The sequence below is a fragment of the Homo sapiens genome, chromosome 7 (genome assembly GCF_000001405.40).
Source record: "Homo sapiens chromosome 7, GRCh38.p14 Primary Assembly".
NCBI lineage: Eukaryota > Metazoa > Chordata > Mammalia > Primates > Hominidae > Homo > Homo sapiens.
Window position 1 is genome coordinate 26,494,451 of NC_000007.14, and position 21,766 is coordinate 26,516,216.

At 42.3% G+C, this 21,766-nt stretch overlaps 1 long non-coding RNA gene across 6 annotated transcripts in view, besides 2 other annotated features; it reads left to right on the plus strand.

Annotated features, from left to right (window-relative positions):
* The window catches only part of LINC02981 (long intergenic non-protein coding RNA 2981), a 142,382-nt gene that overhangs the window by 95,882 nt on the left and 24,734 nt on the right, over positions 1–21,766 (plus strand). For 4 of the 6 annotated variants that reach the window (NR_148499.1, NR_148501.1, NR_148502.1 and 1 more), the window contains 2 exons: positions 569–749; positions 1,664–1,768. This is a non-coding gene — a long non-coding RNA (long intergenic non-protein coding RNA 2981). Of the gene's footprint in view, positions 1–568; positions 750–1,358; positions 1,432–1,663; positions 1,769–2,545; positions 7,499–21,766 lie in introns of those variants that run through there. The other 2 variants (NR_148504.1, NR_148503.1) reach the window with 2 other exon arrangements.
* Positions 13,793–14,293: an enhancer, noted in NCBI's record as "H3K4me1 hESC enhancer chr7:26547862-26548362 (GRCh37/hg19 assembly coordinates)". NCBI's record gives its function as "activates a minimal SCP1, AML or CMV promoter by ChIP-STARR-seq in naive H9 embryonic stem cells {active_cell/tissue: H9 hESC(naive)}" and the evidence as "EXISTENCE:reporter gene assay evidence [ECO:0000049][PMID:30033119]".
* Positions 14,294–14,794: an enhancer, noted in NCBI's record as "H3K4me1 hESC enhancer chr7:26548363-26548863 (GRCh37/hg19 assembly coordinates)". NCBI's record gives its function as "activates a minimal SCP1, AML or CMV promoter by ChIP-STARR-seq in primed H9 embryonic stem cells {active_cell/tissue: H9 hESC(primed)}" and the evidence as "EXISTENCE:reporter gene assay evidence [ECO:0000049][PMID:30033119]".

Genomic DNA, 21,766 nt, shown 5'->3' on the forward strand with positions numbered 1-21,766 from the left:
ATTAATGAGTTGTTATACTTATTTTATAGATAGAGAATTACCATTATAACATTGCTCCATTGCCCACTCATCCATTCACGCATCTGTCCATCCGTCCATCCACCCATTTGTCCACTCCCCAAATGGTCATCAATTGTCTACTGTGAGCCAAGCAAAGTGCTCCTTACTTTGGACTCTGAATCCAGTGCTCTTTCTACTTCACCATAGACACATGCCCCTTGAGTATAAGGGAGCTTGATTCATTCAACAAATATCTGTTGTCCATCTCCAATGTACTGGCATATTCTAAATGCATCCAACAAAAACCAAAATGAAAAAAAAGAAAAACCCATTCCTTCAAGGGGATTGCATTCGGACTGGGGGAGACAGATAAAATAAAAATAATGAAGTCAAATATATATGTTAGTGACATGTGCCATGAAGAATAATGCCCAATAGGTAAATGGGGCAATTAACAAACGTAATGTAAATAAATTAGTTCCAAGAAATCATTGACTCACCAACAGAGGGAACACAATTTGGTCCATGGTAAAATATTCCTTGGTATTAATAATTTCTTCTCCTAAAGTATTTCAGGGGCTGCCAAGCTGCTCTCCTGTTTCCTCTTCCTTGGGGCTGATTGCATCCCATGATGTGCCCAGGTTTTGAGATGCTCCTCGTGAATGAAAATAGGACTGTCTGGTTCCTCCATCCATAGCAAGGGAGCCTAGACAGAAATAACTTCTGTGCATTTCTCCAGCTACATTTAGGTAAGTGATGCCTTTTCTTCGTTTTCTTTAAGATGTCCTATAAAACCCTATTGATGTAGCTCAGTTGTTTGAAATTTATGATGCTTTAGATAGGCTTTGGCCTGAGATTGCCTTGAGGAATGGTGTAGGTACACAAATTAAGAATAAAAATAAGATTGCAAAAAATTGCACCACTTAAGGGAATTAGTTGCTTTTTTCATTATCTTGAATAATTTGTTCTTAAATGCATCAGAGGGACCAAATCATAGCTGACTGATCGGCTCGTTATAAATAATTCTCACCTATTCCTAAAAGCGGGGGCCTGTTGTGCACTTGCTACCTCCGTTTAGAGAATATTGCACTTCAAGCCCATTGGATTTGAAAGTAATAGAAATGGTCTTTTTAAAGCCAATATTCTAGAATGAGCACTTCATTAAATCGAGACCCACCTTTTACCCAAATTTAGCTAGACTTTAATGTGCATCACACATCTCTAATCTGGGCTTTTCCTATAGCCTCTTTCAAAGGACATATTTGTTCAGCCTTATCAGTGAGGTATTCAATCATGCTTCCCTTGTATCAGGCACCTCAAGGGCAGGAGCTAACACAAATGTGCTTGGTTTTTAATAGCTGAAAATATGTCTACGTGAGGTTAACTGTATTTACCCAATGCCAGATACCTGAAAGAGTGTGAAAAATTAAGGTAATTATTAATGTCTCCAAATAGCTGGATGATGGTGTCATATTTGCAATGCATAGATTATGCCATCATGTCAGATTTGGGACACTTTGGGAGGTTGGGAATGGGATGGGGATGGGTGGCAGTGAATAACATCAGACAGGGTGGATACGTAATTCCAAAGTTGGAATTAGTGTCTCTATTTTAACAGCAATTCCTTTACTTAACAGCAATTCTTTTCTGTTTATCATTTTAGGGAAAACTAGAAAATACAGAAATATATCAAGAAGAAAAAAAATTTAAAAATGACCCAAAATCCCACCAACCAGAGACAGCTATTAATGATTGTGGTATATTTATTGTAAGTCTCTTTATTTCTGTCTTCATGCAAACACATTTTTAAAGAATGGACACTGGTATTATATTGTTTATACAACTCTAAATGCTGCTTTTTCACTTATTACAATTAGGACTTTTTTCATGTTAATAAATACTTCCTGAAAACATAAATATCTAATGGTTACATCAAAATTTATTACCTTTTCCTTGTTGATGAACATTTAGGTTGCTTTCATTTTTTCTTGCTTATATAAAATAAACATTCTTGAACATAAATACATGTTAACAGCTCTGAAAATTACTCCATGCCCTTATTCTTTTTCTTTCTTTCTTTCTTTTTTTTTTTTTTTTTTTGAGACAGGGTCTCACTCTGTCACCCAGGCTGGAATACAATGGCATGATCTCTGCCTCCCGGGTTCAAGAGATTTTTGTTCCTCAGCCTCCCGAGTAGTGGGACCACAGGCGTGCACCACCATGCCTGGCTAATTTTTGTATTTTTTGGTAGAGATGGGGTTTCACCATGTTGACCAGGCTGGTGTTGAACTCCTGGCTTCAAGAGATCCACCCATCTCAGCCTCCCAAAGTGCTGGGATTACAGGCGTGAGCCGCTGTGCCCAGCCATGCCCTTATTCTTGATCACCTTCCCTACATTTGGAGGGGTTATGGAGACATAAAGTGTGCCTAAGATCCTGATAACAGAGCAGATGGTTTATTTTTTGTGGCAAGGATATTTTGTGGCAAGGATGTTTTGCATTGATCAGTTGCATTTAATAAATTAATTACTTTATTTATTCAATAGGAATTTACTAAAGTCATGCTATACGCTAGGCACTGTGGAGGGACTGCAGAAAGACTTCAAGGACTGCACCGTCTTGTTAGAAAGATGCCTAGACAACATTTGAGAAACGCTGATCATGTCTGATGACACATAACTGCTAACAGTTACATGGAATTTTCTATATGCTATATACAAACATACAAATATATGTATGTATATTTACTCAGCTCTCACAACAGCTACTACTGTTATTATGAATCCTGTTTTATAGTGAGAAAACTGAAACATGGAGAGGTTAAGTAATTTGCCCAAGATCACATAGCTACTAAGTGGTGGAACTGTGATTAGAATCCAGGCATTCAGGCTCCAGAGTTCATACTCTTCACATACCACATCTATCTTGAATATAACAATGTAGAGAAAAAGAATTATAGCAAGCATATGTCTAGGTAAGCATTTTCCAGAAGTGACTGTTTTTTTGCATTGGGTTTGTAAACTTTCAACAATAAAGCAGGTTGGACTTTATATCAGTCAAAGCAGAATATTCTGATGTCACCTTCCCCAATGTTTAGGATGTTAATGAGAATTGCTAATCCAAGAGAAGAAAATAATCTCATCTAATTTGGGTAAGTCAATTATTTGAAAGTAGAAGAACCACCCTTCCACCTCTCTTGTTCTAAGGAACCTCTGGGGGAAGTACTGGAAAAATAATGCTTTCTAATAAGCCCAATAGGGCTTTTGATTTGTAATAACTATTTTAATAAGTATCAGTTCAATTCCTATTATTTTTAAGAAGTTCATTGAATGAATTAAAGAACAAATGAATGAGCAATGCTTTAGGCTATAGGCTTTCAGAGGACGTAATTCTATGAAACAGACTCAGTGGTATGCTGGCACCAGCTCCTACTTGCGTCTCTTTTCAACTTTGTGTTCAGTGACTTTGCCTTGGTAGCTTGACATCAGCCATGGTGGGAATATTTAAACTAAATAACTGAGAAAATGATTCATATTAGAGAGCTTTCTTTTTTCCCGGGAACTAAGTGTTAAACATTTACCAGCACACCACTGCCTAGACTTGTTAGGAAATTCACAAGTGAGAAGAAATTCTGTGATTCCAGGAGATGAAAGAGGGAAGTGTAATGAGAATATCAACTTGAGTATTTTATCCGTTGCTTTCTTTAATTGGGTCATTTCAGAGGGTGGGTAGATTTTGTTAAGACAGTTGAAATATTTAGGTAGGTAGAGGGGTGAGTGCAGTTGAAGAGTAAAGGCTGTTTGGGGCAGACAAAAGAATGATAGCACTCTTTCAAGTGCTCTGCCACCAGCAGTAAAAGTCGGGAGAAGGACCTAGCACCAGGACACGTGATCTGTCCGGCGTAAGCGAGTGCTGAGTCAAAGGCCTGCAATTCAGGCCCCTGCTCTGGGGCACGGTCAGTTTCAGCCAGGCCCAACTCTCTTTCCCAGGTCCATGGCGTGGATGGCACCCAGAATCCAGCAGGGGAGTGCTGGTGGATACACCTGGGAGGGCCTGGTGGAGGATCATTTGCGTGCAGAAATAAGGAAATAGACATATTTGAGCTGGAAGAAAATCTTACATGTCTGATCCAATTCTCTCATTTCACAGATAAGGAAAAGGGGCCCCAAAGAGTGAAGAGGGGATGTCCTGAGGTCATGAGGCTGGCTTACAGCAAGGATCTGGACCAGACAGCAGGGTGGGACCCTCAGCTGTCCCCATACTTGCTGCTTGATATTGGATAGGTTATTTAGGCTCTATGTGTTTTCTCATAAACACATAGAGGTTAGGTAAAAATGGTGGTGTGAGAATGAACTAATACATGTAAAGAGCTTGCATGTAGTAAGCTCTCAATAAATATTAATAATACTGGGCACAGTGGCTCACACCTGTAATCCCAGCACTTTGAGAGGCCAAGGCGGGTGGATCCCTTGAGGTCAGGAGTTTGAGAACGCCCTGACAAACATGGTGAAACCCCATCTCTACTAAAAATACAAAAAATTAGCCAGGCATGGTGGTGGGTGCCTGTAATCCCAGCTGCTCGGGAGGCTGAGGCAAGAGAATCACTTGAACCTGAGAGGTGGAGGTTGCTTTGAGCCCAGATCATGCCACTGCACTCCAGCCTAGGTGACAGAACCAGACTTCATCTCAAAAAAAAAAAAATTAATAATATAGAGCCCTTGTGTTGACACTATTCTCTTTTACAGCCAGAAAGAGAGAAAGATTACAGAAAATAAAAATATATTAATATATTAAAGGCATAATACTGTGAATTAATACTGATTAATTCAATATACTATTATATCAAAAACCAGGATACTAATAATAAATAATATATGGAAAACCACCATACACATTGGTAAAACATTAACATTTTCAAATCTCCAATCCAAGAATTTTCCCCAAATCCAGATTGTGCAGGTATTTTAGTGAATGATTCACCCTACAGAATTACTTATTACATTTTTCTTTAAACTTCAATGGATTTGTAGCTGAATGAGGGATCAGGTAATCACCAGACATCTTGGAAGGGCACATGATCCCTCAGGCCTTTTCTTGGAGAATGTTTAAAGAAACCTCTTCCTTCCCATTAGGGAGGCCGACCATGAGTCCCTTTGTGTTGACAGTGAAGGTGTCTGGGGCTACACCTCTTTCACATGCTCTGCCACCAGCAGTAAAAGTCAGAAGGCCCTGGCACAGGGCACACCTGATCTGTTCGGCATAAGTGCTGAGTCAAAAGCCTGCAATTAAGGCCAGTGGCTGGGAGGAGGCCTGGTCCCAGCCTCTCCTTGATTTGCCTCACCCCACCCAAACACAGGTCATGTTCATCATCTGCTAGCCAGCAAGGAAGATGTGTGGGGTACAGGTTACAGGGACTGAGCCCGGAGCCTGACTTTCTGGGCTCTACCACTCGTTGTCTTCATTTCCAAAGGCAAAGCACTTGACCTCTCTGAGCCTCCATTTCTCATCCATAAAATGGGGATGATGATAAAAGTGACTGCTTCATAGGATTGTTGAGAGGATCAACTCAAGTAATATGTGAAAAGTGGCACATAATAAGTACTCTGTTTCATGTTTCTAATTAATTTTATTTTTTTTAGGTTTTTTACTGTGGTAAAATATATGTAACATAAAATTTACTATTTTACTATTTTTAAGTGTAAGTGGCGTTGAATACATTGTGGCATTGAATACATTCACACTGTCATGCAACCATCAACACCATCCACCTCCAGCCTTCTTCGTCATCCCAAACTGAAACTCTACTCATTAAACAATAACTCCTCATTCCCGCTTCCCCTTAGCCTCTGGGAACCATTGTTCTTTGCCCATTTTTAAATGGAGGTTGTTGCTGGGTTGTGGGAGTTCTTTATTCTGGATATTAATCCTTTACCAAATAGATAATTTGATTTTTTTTCCTATTCTGTGTGTTGCCTTGACTATGTCCTTTCATGCACAAAATATTTTAATTTTGATGAAGTCTAGTTTACCTATTTTTTCTTGTATTGCCTGTGTTTTGGTGTTAATTCCAAGAAATCATTGCAAAATTCAATGTCATGAAATTTTGCCCCTTTCTTCTAAGAGTTTTATAGTTTTAGCTCTTATGTTTAGGTCATTGATGACTTTGAGTTAATTTTTGTTTATGATGTAAGGTAATGGTACAACTTCATCCTTTTGCATGTGGATATCCAGTTTTCCCAGCACTATTTATTGAAAAAAAGACTGTCTTTTCTCCATTGAGTGGTCTTGGCATCCTAGTTGAAAATCATTTGACCCTATATATTAAGGTTTATTTCTGATTTCATTGGTCTATGAGTCTGTCTTTATGCCAGGACCACTCTGTTTTGATTACGGTAGCTTTATAGCAAGTTTTGAAATCAGGAAGTGTGAGACCTTCAACTTTGTTCTTCATTTTTCTGGATGTTTTGGCTATTCTGGGCCCCTTGAGATTTGAGAAAGAGTTCCCTCTACTGGCAGATCTAAGACAGTCTGTTGACTCAGGTACCTGATAATTTTTGAAGATGCATTTAAGAAGTTAAACTATTGAGAATAAAAAAATCTTAGCTAGGCTTTATTTTATTTTTCTGATCGGTTAGAGACTCTTGGAGACTTCTCTTTCTTCTCAATCAATTTGACTGAGGTATAATTAAAAAAAAATAAAACATACTGATATGGCTTGGCTGTGTCCCCACCCAAAATCTCATCTTGAATTATAATCCCCATAATCATCATAATCCCCACGTGTCAAGAGAGAGACCAGGTGGAAGTAATTGAATCATGGGGGCAGTTTCCCCGATGTTGTTCTCGTGATAGTGAGTGAGTTCTCACGAGATCTGATGGTTTATGTGTTTACTAGTTCTTCCTGCGTTAATTTTCCTTCCTGCCACCATGTGAAGAAGGGGTCTTGCTTCCCCTTCGCTTTCTTACACGATTGAAAGTTTCCTGAGGCCTCCCCAGTCCTGCGGAACTGTGAGTCAATTAAACCTCTTTCCTTTATAAATTACCCAGTCTCGGACAGTTCTTTATAGCAGTATGAAAACAGACTAATGCATATACAGACACATACACCTAAGTAACCATCACTATCGCAATCAGGATATCAAATATTTCTATCAACCCAAAAAGTTCCTTTGTGATTTTTGTAGTCAGTCCCCACTCTTGATTCCCCATGCCCCAGGCAACCACAGGTCTGCTCCCCGTCATATAGACGAGTGTTGTCTGTGTTCAGATTTCAAATACATGGAATTGCACAATATATGCTCCTATGTCTAAATTTTTTTCACTTAGCATAATGTTTTCGAAATTCATTCATGTTGTATTTATCAGTAGTTTTTAGCATTGTATCGCACTGTGGTATTTCATTGTATATATCATCATTTGTTTATCCATTGACCAGTTGAACATTTGGGCTATTTCCAGTTTGGGGCTGTTTTGAATAAAGGTGCCAAGTTCAAGTCTTATTTGCAGACATATGTTTTCATTTCTCCTGAATAAATACCTGCAAGTGGAATTTCTGGATCATATTGTAAGTGTATGTATAATTTTATAAGAAATTGCCAAGCTGTTTTCCACAGTGGTTGTATATCTCACCAGCAGCATATGGGAGTTCCACTTCCTTCACATCCTTGCCAACATTTGGTGTGGTCAGTCTTTTAAATTGTAGCCATTTTAGTGGCTGTGTTGAGTATATGAAAAATCATTGTTAGGTTTAGTTGTTCTTCTCATAGCAAGACCTTGAAGCCTTAAAAATATATTTTTAAAAATTTTAACTGTAATAAAAAACACATAGCATAAAATTGATCATCTCAGCCGTTTTTGAGTGTAGTTCAGCAGTGTTAAGTATATTCACATTATTGTACAACAGCTCTCCAGAATGTTTTCATCGTTCCAAATAGAAGTTCTATACGCATTGAGAACAATAACACTTCATTTCTACCTTCGCCAGGAGACTTTTAAAATTACACTTTTTATTTTGAGGTACTTATAAATGTATATAGAGTTGTAAGAAATAATACAGAGATATCCCGTATACTTTTTACTCACCTTCCCCCAGTGGTAACATCTCACAAACCTATAGTACAATATCACAACCTATTGGAACCTTTTAAAAATACACACCTCTCAAAGTTGAGTGAGAAGTCACAGAAAACAGGCACCATTAGATCATGTCCTGTGCTCCACTGTCAATGAGACAGGGAGAATCTGAAGCATCAGAGGCTGTCCTAACCATAATGCCAATGAATACTCTGAGAATCACATTTCAGGGACCGCAAGAACCACTGATCCGTTAATATTGGCAACACCAACGCTTAGTGCTTCCAACCTGAAAATGCTGCATCTGGAATTTCAAATTAGGCATCCCTGATGAGAAAGTGAGATGCAGAGTAAAGGGCAAGGAGATGGTCAAAAGCAAGAGGTATATTCATTTAGACCTCTGCCAGTGGGACTGGCACTCGGCATGTCTTCTTTTCTCACCTAGACATTTCTGTCTTTCTGACTAGGAGTAATCATGGGTGGTGGTTCCGTTCAGGGAGAATGAAATAACTGTGGACCCCCAAGCTCATTTGAGCTAATAGCTTCAAAATACTTGGGTAGATGCCCAAATAAGTAATGAAATGGACTAGTTTTAGTTTTAGCTTTTTGTGCTTCCACTGCGCATCTCTGGTGGAGGGAAGGCTGAGCAGTGGAATGGCTAAGGTGCAGGGAGTCAGGGATAGGAAGAGAAAGACCCAGGTGATCTTCAGACTGGATAACCAGCCCCTGCGGGCTCTGGAGCTGATGGTAATGATAGGAAGCAAATCCTGAAGGTAAAGGTTATAAGACAGTCCTAAGGGCGGGAAGGGTGAGGAATGAAATCAACTGCAACGACAAATGTAATTTTTAAGATAACCAATGAGAAAGAAAAAGATGAAAATTAGCTTGATGAAAAATGGATATAGTGACTCTTTCCCCATTTCCTTTAGCATCTTTCAGAAGACGATCGTTTTAGGGCAGTCCCCACATGATGGTGACAGGACAATCACTCTTTTGGAGATCATTTTTGAAATTATGGCAAAGTCAAGGGCACCCGCTGTAAGTTCCTTCGCATCCTCTTCTCCATCTCCAGCTCTTTGCCTGTTCTGAGCTCCTGTCTCTGAAGAATCTCTCTACTTCCATTGTGAGTTCATCTCCCTGTGCCCTTGGTCCCTCCTGCTGCCCTAAAGTCTCGCTCTATCAGGAACGCATGCTCCCCTTGGATCTTCCAGCTCTCCTTTCCGGGACCTGCAAGCATGTTTGGATCGCCCCTTCCTTCAAAACACATGCCTTAGGCCTGCTCCCCAATCACCTTACCGACCTCAACCCCTCCTTCCTTTCATTAGTAAACGTTTTAAAAGAGTACTATCACCAGCTACCTGTCTCCTTGACCTTGGGCCAGCTGCTGGTCGCCTTTTCCCAACACTGTTGCCTGAGGGCTGTCAGCGCCCTCCCTGTAGCTGCGTCCCCGGCCTTTTCTCCTGGATCATCGTCTCTGTTGCTCTGGACACTATGGACATGTTTCTTTCCTGTGTCACCCTGTACTTCCTGGGATTTTGTGCTGTCACCCTTTTCCCTTTCTCCTTTTCTAGGACATCTTTGCCACTTCCTCTGCCCCACAGATTTAGGTCTCTGCAGAAGTTCACTTCTGGGTGTTTTTCTCTTATTTCCTATTTTGTATAGTCTTTCTTCCAATAGTCTCGTCTGCTTCCTCTGTTTCAATTAAAGCCTCTAAGCAGATGTCTTTGAGTTTCATTGGTTAGACCTTTCTAAGGTGCCTAAATTGTGGGGTCGTGTCAGGATGAGATTGTGCTTTTGATTGACCTTTGTACCCCCTAGCATAATGTCGTAAATATAGTAGAAGCTCAGATGATATTTGCTGAATAGCATTTGTATCCCCAAACTATTGGATGGTGGGATGTTGGGATCTCTCATTTTTTTTGTCTTTTTTTTTTTTTTTGGTAGAGATAGTGATATAGAAGTTAAAAAGAAATTGTTTAGGCAGATAGAAAGGGTTAGGAAGTCCTCAGTAATGTTTTCCTTTTAATGACTAGCAGCCCTCAAATCATTTCTTTTCTAACAAAGAGCAGCCTGTAACCTCAAGCTGCAGACATAGATAAGCAAGCTGGAAGCTTGCACCAGTAAATGCTGGCAGCTCTGCCAATAGGAAAAGGCTACCTGGGGGCCAGGAATGTTCAACATGGTGGCTCTAGCTTCCCTTTTCTTTGTCAACCAAGTGTACAGTAAGGAGCAGGCAACATGGCACCAGCCAGGTAGAGACCCCATCTGTATAATAAAAGATTAGGGTGGGATGGCTGGCCTCTTCGTGCACTACGCAAGTGTCACACTTGGTCTGACCAATCTCTTGAGCCCTGTGTAAATCAGACACTGCCTCCTCAAGCTCATCTATAAAACCCTGTGCATTTTACCACAAAACCGGAAGACCCACTCAGGTGCCTCCTGTCTCTGCAGGAGAGAGAGCTTTTCTCTTTTCTCTTTCTTTCGCCTATTAAACCTCTGCTCTTAAACTCACTTCTTGTGTGTCTGCATCCTCGATTCCCTTGGCGTGAGACAACAAACCTTGGGTATTTAACCTAGACAATGATGCTACTTTAATAGAATCTTGCTATGTTGCCCAGGCTGGTCTTGAACTCCTGGCCTCAAATGATCCTCCTGCCTAGGCCTCCCAAAGTGTTGAGATTATAGGTGTGAACACTGTGCCCAGCCGGGATCCCTTGTTTTGATGTCCTCTTGACATTGTGGTGAAGGGAAGCCAAGTAAATCTATAACCTTTCCCCTCCAAGACGCTGTCCCAAGAAACAGCCCTGGTTCAGGACAGTTGGTAGTCTGCCCTGTGCCAGTTCTCATAAATGACAGAGAAGCTTTCAGGATAGAAATCCTGGGAGTAATTGAGTCATGATTGGCACCCCCTGCACTGTTCCAAACTGACAACAAATGGGCATGGCAGCATACGCCTCTTCCAAGTGGCATCTAATTTCTCGAAGGTGACTTTACATTGCTTTACAGAGGCTGGCACACTGATTCAGGAGAGCCTACAGGGAGTCGCACCTGAGCCTGGTGCCTGACTGCAGCAGACAGCTGCCTAGTTAAGGCAAATTTTACAGTTAAATTGTGTTCTGCTTGGGAATTGGAAACTACTGCAGAAGGACAAATGCAAATGCAATTCCAGTGCAGGGCAGGAGCTTGTTAAGAGACAGCCCTGCTGCAAAACCTGAAATCTCCCTGGTTTCTGTTCAACTATTGCTTTGGGGAAACTCATGGGCCATTTTCTGAGGGGCTTTAAGGGAGGGAGGACAGAAGTAGCTTCAGTGCAATATGAATAACATGGGCTTTGGGGTGTGACCATGTCCATGTTATTACAAGCACAAGCATCAACCTGCCTGGTTTTAAATGCTGGCTCTACCACTTACAGGCTGGATAACCTTGGGCAAGTTACTTTAAATCTCTGAGCCTCAGTTTCCTCATCTGTAAGCTCTAAATAATAATACTTACCTTGTTAGAAGTTAAAAATACATAGATATAAAAACCTTAGCCCAGTGCTTGACATATAAGCCTTCAATCAATGCTAGCAATTTCACCATTATTATTACTGAATAATTGTGAGACCTTGAGCAAGTCACTTAACCTCATGGTGTCCTTTTCTCCATTTCTTGGGGGTGGTTTTGTGAGCATTAAGTAAAAAAAAAAAAAAAAAAATCTATGAAGCATTTGGCACAGGATGGGCCCTTCATAGGTGCTAGCTATTACTGTTATTATTATAAATAGCTGGATATAAACAAATTTGCTTCGCATACCTTAGGGTAGTGGGTACCTGCTGGTGAGGGCTCCCTGGAGAGCCAAATACATCCAAAAGAGCAAGAAAAGGACAAAGTCAGCATAAAGTTTAAGAGAAAAGGTCAAGTAAGACGGACCTGGTTTTCCAGTAAATGATCTGACCTCCCTCCAATGCGGCTTCCTTCTCTGTGAAATAGGGATCGCAATGACAATAGCCCTTCTGCGGAGTTGTGGTGAGGACCACCGTGCTTGTCAAGTGCTCAGACAGGAACTCTGACACACGGTCAGTGCCCATAAAATGTAGCTGTTGGTATTGAGAATGGTGGGCGGGCGGCAGGGTTAGTGCAGGATTATTGGGAAAGGGTTGAAGAGAGTGGGGAGGAGGGAAGGGGTGGGAAGAACAGGAGGGGGAGAGAGTTTTGCTGAACACCACCTAATAGAGATCCTAACTTGGAGGAGACAACCCTGTGTTTTGTCTGAGACTGCCTTTACCCTTCATGTGTCCCCTGAATGCATCTCTCATGGTGCCAAGAATAATGTCTTTTACAGAGGAGGTCATCAACAGATATTGATGGAATTAGAGGTTACCTCAGAGAGAGGATATGTGTTTGATCACTTCTTCAAGGTTCTGGAACTCAAGACCATGGTGTTCCAAAAAATGTTCATGTCTGGGATGGGTGTATGAGGTAGGGGGAGTCTCGGAATGCCAGCCATTCTTTCCCACCCATTACTGTGAACCAGAAGGATCTAATACATCTCCATGGGTAATGGTTTGATTCTTGACCAAAGAGGGTGGCACAAACCCAGAAGTGAGTCTTGTGAGAGCAACAGTCGAGCTCATTCAAAGTTCATTTGCAGCATATGCGGGGTGTCCCCACAACCTGGCAAGTCACAATTTAAAAGGAGACAGCAACACAGAAAGAAAGGAGTGAGTTTTACTCAGTGTGGTGCTGGGTGAGCCTGCACACTCGCAGGCCCGCTGCAAGAAAAGCTCTGTGAGTCTGGGATAGAGCTGAGTTCTACATCATCTGCTCATTGGCCAAATTGCAATGGGAAGGAAGGGCTGTTTATTTTCCTCCCAGAACAGGAATTCTCAGAAAATCGATTCTCCCTCATTGACAATGCATACTAAGTGATTGAAAGGCCATTAAACCCATTAATGGGGTGCTCTTTAAATAAAATAAGTCCCTAAAAGGGATCTTAGACTTGGCAAAGTCAGTAGAGCTGACAGTGTGCTGGGCCTGCCCAGGGACTGTAAATATACCAGAACAAATATAGGAGAGCAGGAGGGGGGCATGCAGACAGAGGATAAGGGAGGCAGTGACGACGAATAGCGTGGTGCACAAAGGACAAATGTTGCCAGACAAGCTTAATGGCTTTTATTTTATTTTTGACAGCATTTACAAAATGAGTAAATGAAGGGAAGTTTGCATCTTGATTTCAGTTAAACATTTGGCATTGCATCCCACCAAATTTCATGCACAAAATTAATTCAAATTGTTTTGGATGGAAGTGTGGTCACATGGGTGAAACTTGGCTGGCACTCCCTCCCTGAGCAGCAGGGGGAAGAAGGCGCCCCCTGCTGCGGTCAGCATGGTGGCAGAGCCTTGTTCTAATTCTCATCATAAACTGGGCTCCTCATTCTCTGGCTCCCCCTCTAATAATAATAATGATAATAATAATAATAACTTACATTAATTGATCACATACAAGTTCACGACATTTTATCTTATTAAGATAAAGTTAATCGGCCGGGCGCGGTGGCTCACGCCTGTAATCCCAGCACTTTGGGAGGCCGAGGTGGGCGGATCACGAGGTCAGGAGATCGAGACCATCCTGGCTAACACGGTGAAACACTGTCTCTACTAAAAATACAAAAAAATTAGCCGGGCGTGGTGGCGGGCACCTGTAGTCCCAGCTACTCAGGAGGCTGAGGCAGGAGAATGGCGTGAACCCGGAAGGCAGAGCTTGCAGTGAGCGGAGATCGCACCACTGCACTCCAGCCTGGGTCACAGAGCGAGACTCCGTCTCAAAAAAAAAAAAAAAAAAAAAAAAAAAGTTAACATTTCTCCGTAGTTCTTTTGGCCCCAGACATTTCTCTTTACTCTGTCTTCCTTTTTAAGCAGCTGTGTCGATCACCTCTGGGGACAAATGGGATAGAGTGTAGAGGATGTGGGGTCATGGGCAAATGTTTGGGAGAAACAAGAAAAGGCTTCGCTCCTCAGATGAGAAAGAATTTTTCGTGAGAGGCGATGTGAGCAGACAGGATGGAGGGCGAGGGTGGGGCCGTGCACCTGCTTTCCTAGGCAGAGGGACTGCCTGCAGGTACCACAGCCCAGACAGGGAGTGGCCTGGGGAATCCCCACAGAGACTCCTGCCACCTGCATGGTTCAGAGCCAGAGCAGCCAGGTCCAGATGGACCATTTGGGCAAGAATGTAGACCCTCGGGCAGCGACATTGCAGACTGAGTGGGGTGAGCTGGCTGCCTGCTGTGCCGTCTTTTCATAGAAAATGAGTTGAGTTATGAGAATTTTTTTCTGGCACACCTAAGATTGTGGAGGCATTATTAGCTCAGTGAGTCTGCACCGAAATGCTGTAACGGACAGTTCGGAAAATGGAGGCAAAGGCAGGTAAAGCAGTGGAGCCAGACGGGAACTAACGCAGGAATGCAGGAGCCCCTCTGCTGAGATTCTGCCCACCCCCAAGGGCAGTGAGAGCTTCCTGGTTCTATCCAAGTTACTCTTTCATCGAAGGGAAGGACCACTTGGTAACTATGGTGAATGCAAATAAACAGCCCCTCTGAAGAAGGCACTGATATTCCTGAAGCTCTGTTTCTTTTTCTGGTGCTGCCCCATAAAAAGCTGATCTCATTCCCTCATTCATTGATTCTTTTGTTTATTCAGTGACCTGTGTTGAGAACCTATTATATGTCAGGCGCTGGGCAGACAAGCCTAAGTCAGGCACAGCCTCAGCTCTCCGAGAGCTTGGGTGCTGGTAAGGGTGTACACACACATAGGCAGTTTTTTTTCAGGGTTATTTTTACTTTTTTAAATGTCCTGAACATGCTCCCTTCGTTGATCTATCTCAAATAGCATTTAACTAAATCTTTTTTTTTTTTTTTTGAGACGTAGTCTCACTCTGTCGCCCAGGCCAGAGTGCAGTGGCGAGATCTCGACTCACTGCAAGCTCTGCCTTCCGAGTTCACGCCATTCTTCTGCCTCAGCCTCCTGCGTAGCTGGGACTACAGGCGCCGGCCACCACGCCCAGCTAATTTTTTGTATTTTTAGTAGAGACGGGGTTTCACTGTGTTAGCCAGGATGGTATCGATCTCCTGACCTCGTGATGCCCCCGCCTCGGCCTCCCAAAGTGCTGGGATTACAGGCGTGAGCCACCGCCCCCGGCCTAACTTAATTTTTAAAATGTATCAGATTCAAAGTTTAATATTTGATTTTTTAAAAACCAGTAAACTCAACATATATTTGGTCAATTGAGTTTTGACAAAGGTTTCAAGGCAAACCAATTGGAAAAGGACAGTTTTATTAAATAAATGGTGCAGAAACAACTGGATATCTATTTTTTTAAAAAGAATCTTGACTCTTACCCCACACTATCACTTAAATGTAAAAGTTGAAATTATAAAACTTATAGAAGAAAAGATAGGAGTAAATCTCCATGATCTTGTCTTACGTAAAGTTTTCCTAGGACACAAAAAGCACTAATCATTTTTGTAAAAAGATAAATTTAACCTGATAAAATTAAAAATGTTGATTACTTGAAAGACTTTATAAGAAAATGAATAGGCAAATAAGATATTCACAAAACATATATATGACAAAAAGCATGTATCCAGAATATATGAAGAACTCTTACAATTCAATAACAGGAAAAATAACTCAGTTTTTAAAATAGACAAAAATATGAACAGTAACTGATATGGTTTGGATTTATGTCCCTGCCCAAATCTCATGTCGAATTATAATCCCCATGTTGGAGGAGGGGCCTGGTGGGAGGTGATTGGATCATGGGGGCGGATTTCGCCCTTGATGTTCTTGTGATAGTGAGTGAGTTCTCGTGAGATCTGGTTATTGAAAAGTGTGTAGCACTCCCCCTTCTCTCTTTATTCCTCCTCTGAAGTAGCAAAATGTGTCTACTTCCCCTTTGGCTTCGGCCATGATTTTAAGTTCCATGAGACCTCCCCAGCCATGCTTCCTGTACAGCCTGTGGAACTGTGAGTCACTTAAACCTCTTTTCTTTATAAATTACCCAGTCTCAGGTAGTTCTTTATAGCAATGCAAGAATGGACTAATGCAGTAACTTCACAAAAGAAAATATATAAATGGCCAAAAGCACATGAAAAGATGCTTAACATCACTAGTCATCAAGGAAATAGAAATTAAAACCACAACAAGGTATCACTACATACCTTGAGAATGGTTAAAATTTAAAAAGACTCACAATCCAAGGTGTTGGTGAGGATGTGGAACAATGAGAATGCTCATACATTGTTGGTGGAGATACAAAAATGGTCCAACTGCTTTGGAAAACAGTTTAGTAATTTCTTATAAAGTTAAATATACTGTTACTATATTACTCAACAATTCCACTACAGTTCTTGTTAGTTAACTGAAAGAAACCAAAACATATGTCCACACAAAAATTTATGCATGAATTTATTGATAATCATTACAAACTGGATGTTTCCAGTTTGCCCAAATGTGTATCAACCATTGAGTGGAGAAGCAAATTGTAGGATATCCACACAATGGATGTCCTTTTCCTACTCAGCAGTGAAAAGAAAAGGACTGCTGATGCCTGAAGCAAAACAGATGAATCTCAAATACATGATGCAGAGTGGAAGAAGCCAGATACCAAAGACCACATAATATTAATATGAGTTCATTTATATTAACTCATAGAAAAGGTAAAACTAATCTACGGTAGCAGAAAGCAGAGCAGTGGTCTCGGGGTTAGGGATGGGGGAGAATGACTACAAAAGTACACAGGAAAGCTTTTTGGTGATAGTAGTAGGCTGTTTCTTGATTGGGATGATGGTTACATGATGGGTGTACACAGCTGTCAAGACTCATTGAACTATCTACTTAAAGTGGAGGCATTTGTGTAGAGTTAGACCTCAAAAAATGGATTTAAAAATAACAAACCAGTAAAAAGTAATAAAAAAATTTGAATAAATAATCACATTTTATTTTTATCAAGGGTTCAAAATATATACACTAATTCCTTAACCAAATTTTCTCATAAAATAGAACAGTGTTACATGTAAGAAAAGCTCCTCATCTTGGCCATGTTCTCACTGCTATGTAAGGCATTTGAAGGTGAATGATACATTCACCGTCAAAATCAGAAACAGCAGGGGAGGAAGAGCTCCCTTAAAATCCTTGAGGGAATCATTCAATTCCTACTTATTGCCTTTTTTTTTTCCTTCCCAAGTGCCCAGGAGAGGTAGGACACTGGCCATTTATCTACATAGTGCCATGAAACTCACAAATATTCAATCTGCTGCCTCCCCTCTCCTTCCAGATTTCCACAGTGGTATAGAGTGTGAGACTGACTGGCTTCCCATTAGAGCCAGGAGAAGGGAAAAGGAATTTCCACACTGGCTTAAGAAAAGTACTGTCTGATGAAGAGTCAGCTTATTTTATTAACTGATGAAATGGCAAAAAGTTTATAATTAAACATACTATGTTTTGCTTTGAACATTATATTTCATTGACAAAAGTGTGCATTTTATAGCGGGCTGCTGACATCTGTTATAAACAAGGCTCTAGAATGGCGTCTGGGTGCATTCCCCCTTCCATAAAACGAGATTAAAGTGCCTTTGTGCTGTTGGAGGGATGCCTACGGTGTTCCATGGAACACGCCTAGAAAACAGAAGCTCTGTGGACACCAAGTGCTTCCTGGGAGGAGTCCTGAAGGTACTGAAGGAAGACGGAATTAACTGCAAAACTAAGCTCTGTCCCCCTTTGGGAATTTGTTAAGTTGGCAGGGGTTGATTTTTTGTTCTGGTTTTCAAATTGAAAGGCCTCTTGCATGACCCGTGTTTTAGAGAACACAGAGGCAAATACCAAATTGTGTGTCCTTGTGTTATCTTAGATCATGAAACAATAGATTTGATTCCTTTGTAAGTTCCACAAAGAATCCCCCTTCACCTGGGCTCCTGTCTGGACGCTGGGGGGTTCTCATTGGCAATTTGCATGTAGTTCTGGGTGAGGTCCCCTATGGATCAATATCTGCCTTCACCCCTGCCATTTTGGGAGGTAGGAAATAGGCCCAGATGCACAGACAGTGGAAATAAAAACACTGCCCTGTCTAACTGTTATGAATATGTTGGGGGAGGTGTTGTGTGTGGTGGGGAGCAGGGACCTGTGCTGTTGAAGATCTGTTCCTGACCAAGTATCCCTGTGACAACAGAGGAGCTATTTCTCTCTGATGGAACAAGGAGTAAGAGAAGCCCCAGAGATATTCAAGGTCACCCTCTGTGTCCACTGTGTAGGCAAACAAGGCTTCTCCCTGGGATTGTTTTTCTTTGTACTACCTTCAAAATATAGACAGTTTTTAAAGATCTATTCTTGGGCCTTATCTCTTCTCTTGACACCTGGCAATCTCATTTTCCTCCATCCAGCATCTGCTCTGCCCTGATACTGAGTCTGTGAAGGTGACTGTAACCCAGGCAGGGCCCTCTGTGTGCTCACAGTCAATACCGGAGGCCACACATGGCCCCTGATGTAGTGGCAAGTGTACTACAGAGGTGAGCTCAGGGTACCCACCACAGGGATGGCGTGACGGAGGGCAAGATGCAGGGGTCAGGGGAATGTTTGTAGAGATGTGATGACCTGAAGTTGGGGAGGGGAAGGGCATTCCAGCAGAAGGACCATTATGAGGAAAGGCATCATATAGCTTGGTTAATTACAAGTATATTAGCTTGAATTATAATATTACTAACAACCCCCATATAATTTACTCTATTTACTATGTGCATGGGGTCCTGTCCAAGCTTTTTTTTTTTTTTTTTTTTGAGACAGAGTCTTGCTCTGTTACCCAGGCTGGAGTGCAGTGTTGCAATCTTGGCTCACTGCAACCTCTGCCTCCCGGGTTCAAGTGATTCTCCTGCCTCAGCCTCCCGAGTAGCTGGGACTACAGGCACCTGCCACCATACCTGGCTAATTTTTGTACTTTTAGTAGAGACGGGGTTTCTCCATGTTGGCCAGGATGGTCTCAATCTCTTGACCTCATGATCCACCCGCCTCGCCTGTCAAAGTGCTGGGATTACAGATGTGAGCCACCATGCCTGGCCCAAGCTTTTTAAAATACTTCTACTATCCATCAAAACCCAGTCCCAGTGATACTTCCCCCAGTAGTGTCACTGGGGTCATTCCTGACCTCTCTTCGTGGAAACAACCTCACCTTCCTCTGGACTTTCATAGCATATGGCTTAGGACGTTGATTTTCTTAACTAGTAGCCTAGTTAATAAAGCATTCTTGATAAACTGTGTTTAGCTATAAGGTCTGAGGGTCTGGATACCAACAGAGTCATGTTTCAGCCCTCACAGCACTCAATAGAATATCTTGCACATATTTGCTACTAAAAAAATATTTGTTCTATGAATGAATGAATGAATGAGTGAGTGAATGGTCTCTTCAGGTGCTGTTGTGGGAACTCACTATCACTTTTTCCTTCTCAAAGCCACTAGTTGAGATTTAGAATTCAAACCCCCTTTCTGCCGAGTATAAGTTTTGTGGAGGACAAGGCATCCCCACTGCTGTCCAGGGCCATGGCATATCTTCTAGCTCGGCCCAGGTTAACCCTGTGCAGCAGGCTGTTTTAATCTTCCTTCACTTCCCTCACTTCCTCTTTTTTCTAAAGCCTCATTCCTGGAAAAGTTATTTCTCAGAGTTCCCTGTCCTTCTATCTAATGGCTTCTAGGTGCCCCCTTGATTTCAGGGTGACAATGCCTTTCTTGAAATCACCTCACCCCAGATAATGAACTCCCTGAGTTTTGCCCAGAGAATGTTCTAGATATTCATACCTGGTACACAGTGTTTCTCTCCTCCCCCTTCATGTCTTGGAACTGAATTCCTTTAAATGCTTCAAGCTTCGCACACCTGCCCCTGCCTTCCCTCTTCCCTGGCTCTTACCTCTCCCACGGCCCCTGAAAATCAACGTTTATAAAACCTTACATTTTGAGTAATCTTGGTTTTTTTTCCATTCCATATATCATGAAAAGCACTTGGCTAATGTCTCACGTGATAAGAAAGAGTTGCTTTTGCTTCATTCAGCTCCACGTTGCTCATATTCTGTCCTATTCCCTTATAGAAATGACTTTCCCCTTGAGCTCCTTCAGATAAACTAAAGTCCAGAGTTTCATTTCATGGGCACTGATATTAATGAGCGCACATTATATGCCAAGCATTGTGATAGTTTGGTGGCAAAAGCAGACGTGTGGAGAAGAATTTATGGGTTAAGTGCCCAGGGAGCAGGAAAGAGTGTGTGCGGGGGGAGGTCAGATTTCAGGGAGGTTTCATCCAGCAACTGACTCGGGAGCTCAGTGTTGCTAGAGAAGATGGAAGTCGCTAGGTAAGGTGGATGGGATAGTGGTGGGAGGAGATGGAAAGCATTTCAGGCAGAGTGGGAAGATACAGGACTGGCCTTATTTATGAAGCCCTTTCTCTCTCTCTCAGGATTCCTACTCTGTTGCCTTGGGAATTTCACTTATCAGACATCTGGTCTCCCCAACTCTAGTTTAAGTGTCTTAAGAATAAAGATGCTTGTCATTTCCTTGGGATTCCTTAGGAAATTACTAGAAAGTAGCAGGCACTATTAAGTACATACGTATTGAAAGATCACCTTATATCCTATAAATATGTACAATTATTATTTGTCAACTAAAATTAAAACTTTAAAGAAAGAGAAAAAGGAGAGCAGATGCTGGGTAGGTGTTTGATGAGGGAGTGACGAGGGAGTCTGTATGGGAGGGTTCCTTTAAATGGAGTGTTTCTCCTCCTGCATAAAGATAGCTCAACTCCTGCCTTGAAATGAAGAGTGAACAGACGATCAATAGCTTCTTGCATCTGGCCTGGGTGTGGTAACGTCTAGGCCATTAATATGCTGTTGGGCCCTTCCCACCGACATTTGTTTCCCGAAGCTCTGCTGCAGCATTTCTGAGTTGCTTGGCTTTGCTTCCTACCTTTGCACACCCTCCGGGAGGAAGGGCTCTCTCTCTCATTCTCTCCCTCTGTTTATGAACAAGGTAATGTGTGTCAAATTGCCTTGGCTTAACCAGGCAATTGTGCACCTTTAAAAGGTACCAGGAAATGTTTCTCTGCGGTCAGATTGGCCCATAATGCACATCTGTTCTCTTGACCAAACTCCAGCAATCTGCCCTGGCTTAGCTGCAGGCTGCACAGCCTGCTCCTGGCTGGAGTCCCAGGCCCAGCAGGGGAGTTTCTGCGAGGTCAGCCACCTGGGTTTCTGGCTGTCTCAAGGCACCGAGGGTGCTGGTCAAAGGACTCAAGATTTGTGGTTCCCACAGCTTCAGGGCGTCCCCAGGAAATCTACAAAAACTCTGTGGGGACAGGAGGAAAAGGAGGGGAGAAGTGAAGAGGATTTGTCTATAGAGAAAGGATGTTCACTGGGCCGGGCGCGGTGGCTCACGCCTGTAATCCCAGCACTTTGGGAGGCCGAGGCGGGCGGATCACGAGGTCAGGAGATCGAGACCATCCTGGCTAAAACGGTGAAACCCCGTCTCTACTAAAAATACAAAAAATTAGCCGGGCGTAGTGGCGGGCGCCTGTAGTCCCAGCTACTTGGGAGGCTGAGGCAGGAGAATGGCGTGAACCCGGGAGGCGGAGCTTGCAGTGAGCCGAGATCCCGCCACTGCACTCCAGCCTGGGCGACAGAGCGA